The 3,980-nt window shown below is 56.5% G+C and overlaps 2 pseudogenes; one reads left to right on the plus strand and one right to left on the minus strand.

Annotated features, from left to right (window-relative positions):
* On the plus strand, positions 268-563 carry SPTLC1P3 (serine palmitoyltransferase long chain base subunit 1 pseudogene 3; annotated as a pseudogene).
* LOC100128610 (putative UPF0607 protein ENSP00000383144 pseudogene) lies at positions 1,905-3,132 on the minus strand (annotated as a pseudogene).
* Positions 3,133-3,980: the final 848 nt, after the last annotated feature.

Consider the following 3,980-nt stretch of genomic DNA (forward strand, 5'->3'; position numbering starts at 1 on the left):
GAACTACATAATTGAGAAATCACACAAGGCACTAAGTAGATAATCAGAATGAATATCACAAATGAACATCAAAAATGGACACAGTTGTGGTGCCTTAGGAAGCATACAACCTCACTTTTGCTATATTTCAAAAGGGAATGCATAATCTGAGTCTATTCATGAGGAAACGTTAGTCAAACCTAAATTGTGAAATATTCTATTTTAAAATAAAGGGTGGATGGAGAGACCTGTACTCTTAAAAAATATCATTGTTATAAAAGTCAAGGTGCTTGTGACCCACCTTCCGGAAGGAAGCGGTTAACTATGGCGACCTCCACGGAGCAGTGGGTTCTGGTGGGGATGGTACAGGCGCTTTAGGAGGCTCCTGCTTACCATCTTATTTTGGAAGGGATTCTGTTACTCTGGATAATCAGACTTCTTTTCTCTAAGACTTACAAATTACAGGAACGATCTGATCTTACAGTCAAGGAAAAAGAAGAACTGATTGAAGAGTGGCAACCACAACCTCTTGTTCCTCCTGTCCCAAAAGACCATCCTGCTGTCAACTACAACATCGTTTCAGGACGGAGTCTTGCTCTGTCACCAGGCTGGAGTGCAGTGGTGCGATCTCGGCTCACTGCAATCTCCACCTCCCAGGTTCAAGCCATTCTCCTGCCTCAGCCTCCTGAGTAGCTGGGACTACAGGCACAAGCCACCATGCCCGCCTAATTTTTGTATTTTCAGTAGAGACGGAGTTTCACCATGTTGGCCAGAATGATCTCGATCTCCTTTTTTTTAATTAAAAAGTAAACTTTAATGTTGAAAATGCAAACTTGGGGAAGGCAGAAAGATAACACACAAGGCTGTCACTTCACACTTCGAAGGTTGCAAAGCAGGCGGGCAGAGGCGCTCCTCACTTCCCAGATGGTGCGGGGGCTGGGCAGAAACGCTCCTCCCTTACAAATGGTGAGGGGGCTGGGCAGAGGTGCTCCTCACTTTCCAGACAGGGCGGCGACTGGGCAGAAGCACTCCTCACTTCCCAGATGGGATGGTGGCCAGGCAGAGGCACTCCTCATTTCCCAGAGAGTGAGGAGGCCAGGCAGAGGCACTCTTCACTTCACAGACAGGACGGCGATGAGGCAGAGGCGCTCCTCATTTCCCAGACGGTGAGGAGGCCAGGCAGAGGCACTCCTCACTTCACAGACAGGACGGCGGCAAGGCAGAGGCGCTCCTTACTTCCCAGACAGGGTGGCGGCTGGGCAGAGGTGCTCCTCACTTCCCATACCGTGAGGCGGCCAGGCAGAGGTGCTCCTCACTTCCCAGAAGGGGTGGAGGCTGGGCAGAGGCGGTGCTCCTCCTCAATTCCCAGATGGTGGGCAGCTGGGCAGAGGCGCTCCTCACTTTCCAGACAGGGCAGTGGCCAGGCAGAAACACTCCTCACTTCCCAGAGTGTAAGGGGGCTGGGCAGAGGCACTCCTCGCTTCGCAGACAGGACGGCAGCTGGGCAGAGGCGCTCCTCACTTCCCAGACAGGGCGGCAGCCTGGCAGAGGCACTCCTCACTGCCCAGATGGGGCAGGGCCCAGGCAGAGGCGCTCCTCACTTCCCAGACTGTGAGGCGGCTGGGCAGAGGCGCTCGTCACTTCCCAGACAGGGTGGGGGACGGGCAGAGGCGCTCCTCACTGCCCAGAGGTGCAGTGGCCAGGCAGAGGTGCTCCTCACTTCCCAGACGGTGGAGCAGCTGGGCAGAGGCACTCCTCACTTCCAAGACGGTGGGGCAGCTGGGCAGAGGCACTCCTCACTTCCCTGATGGTGGAGCAGCCAGGCAGAGGCGCTCCTCACTTCCCAGATGGTGCAGGCAGAGATTCTCCTCAGGTCTCAATCTCTTGACCTCCTGATCCACCTGCCTGGGCCTCCCAAAGTGCTGGATTACAGGCGTGAGCCACCACGCCTGCCCTGCCGTCTCTTCTTTCTCCTCCTAAGCAGCTGTCTTAGTCTCCTGAATTTTGATGTTCTACTTAACACCCTCCTGTTCTTATGCATGTTGCCCTGCTGGAGGCGTCCTTCTCTTTGGGAAGCCTGACCCACCAACAGTGCCTCAGGAGATAGACATGGAAGCTTAGCCGGTGGGGGCCCCTCATCTCTATCCCACCTCAGTTGCAGGGGAGGGGTCGGTTGCAGCTGCAGCGGTGGCCCCGACAGTTTTCTTTTGCAGGACCTGTGGCTGACAGCTCTGGGTGGAGAAGACCTACTTGATCCAAGAGCTGCAGGATCCTTGGGCTGCATGTCCTCCCCCAGCATCAGCAAGCATGGAGAGCTGGGCAGGTGGTCTTTACCCAGCACCTTCAAGGCCGCCTTCTCTGGCCACAGGGAGCAGCCCGGAACTGGGGCAGGGACCACTGTTGGAAGTGGGTCAGGCTTCCCAAAGGGAAGGATGCCTCCAGCAGGGCTGTGTGAACTGGAGACTCCATGGCCCTTGGAGTAGAAACTCACTGCATACACCTGGGCCTTGTCAGTCTGGTTCTTTTCTGCCAAGCTGTTGAGGTGGACATTTCCCTCCAAGGGCCTGGGATTGTACCAGGAGGAAGTGAGGTTTCCCTGAGTCTCCAGGGGCCCAGAGGTGAAGGCTGCTTCCCCATTGCTACAGGGGCCCCTTTTATTGTCCTTCTGCCCCTGGGTCTCTACTTGGTATTTCACCTTCGTTGCTTCTTTGGGCTCTTCTGCCCTCACCTCTGTCTTCGGGAGCCTGGCTGGGATCACCTGCTCAACTAATGAAGGAAGTTGAAGGTTAAACTTGCCTCTGAGATAAGGGATCCTCACGGGGCTGAGGTGTCCAAACATCATGGAGTTGCAAGCAGACAGCAAGGGTTTCTTCCTTGAGGGGGAGCTCCAGACCACAGGAGGCAGGACCCTCTGTGGGGTGCCCGTGTTCCGAGGGATAAGACTCAGCCTCATAGGGGCGCCGTCCCACCTGACTGGAAAAGAAGGCCCAAGATGTCACTGACGGTTGAAGAGGAGTGGGAAACGGCCCAAGATTCCCGGGGCAGGCACAGGTGCAGGAGCAGCAGGGTGAGCCCGGCCAGCTGGGAAGGCCTCACGGACAAGACGAGCAGGTTGCTGATGGCATGGCCAGGACCTGCGGTGGAACCAGGAACAAAATACACTTAGTGAGTTGCCCATTTTGAGCAAGTTGTGCACAGACGAAACTAAGGGTCAGAAGTGGAGAGGATACTCCTAAGTCACCCACTTCTATGTGGCCGGGTGCACACTGGGCATCTGGGAGTTTATGACATCACCATGGGGCTGGTGACAGAGCCAGGGTGTGGAGGAGTGCTTAGGAGCCCAGCGAGGGTGCCTACAAGAGGAGTCAAAGGGCAAAGGGTGAGACCTTTCCACCGATCCAGCTGGACTCTAGCCTCAGGGACGTCCTGCTCCTGGGGGCAGGTGTGTGGCCCTGGATGGGCCCCCCTGTGGGGCTGTTGGAGGTGTGGGGCTGATCCGCCAGAGCCCTTCTGCCTGGTGCCTGGTCCAGGTCCTGGCTAGCACCCAGTGGCCCTGTCTTGGCCGGCCCTGTCCCCCGGGTTACAGGGCCAGAACCTGGAAGCAGAGCGCAGGACCAGCCAGATCCCGCCAGGCTCCCCCTGGGCCTCTCCAGTGCCTCTGTGCTGCCTGGAGCCAGGCCCGCCTTCTCCATGGCTGCCGTGGCCTCAAGGGCCACCAGCCTTGCTCCGCAGGTTTCCAAAGAGAGGACGCGGTGCCCTGACCTGACTGGATGCGCCTCTTACCACATGCCTCCCTGGCAGGCAGGGTCTCCACTTTTTACAAATTTGCCTGAGACCATTCCTCAGGTCATTCAGGTGGTCATGGCCCAGCCAGGCTTTGAACCCAGGCTGTGCGATTCCACAGCTGGCGCTCTGGCCTGTGTGCCTCATGATCATGGATACAGCATCTATTCTTATTTTTTCCTGTAGTCCTGGGGTACTTAGCACCATGGCATATCTGT

Source organism: Homo sapiens, chromosome 6 (assembly GCF_000001405.40).
Source record: "Homo sapiens chromosome 6, GRCh38.p14 Primary Assembly".
In the NCBI taxonomy this organism is placed as follows: Eukaryota; Metazoa; Chordata; class Mammalia; order Primates; family Hominidae; genus Homo; species Homo sapiens.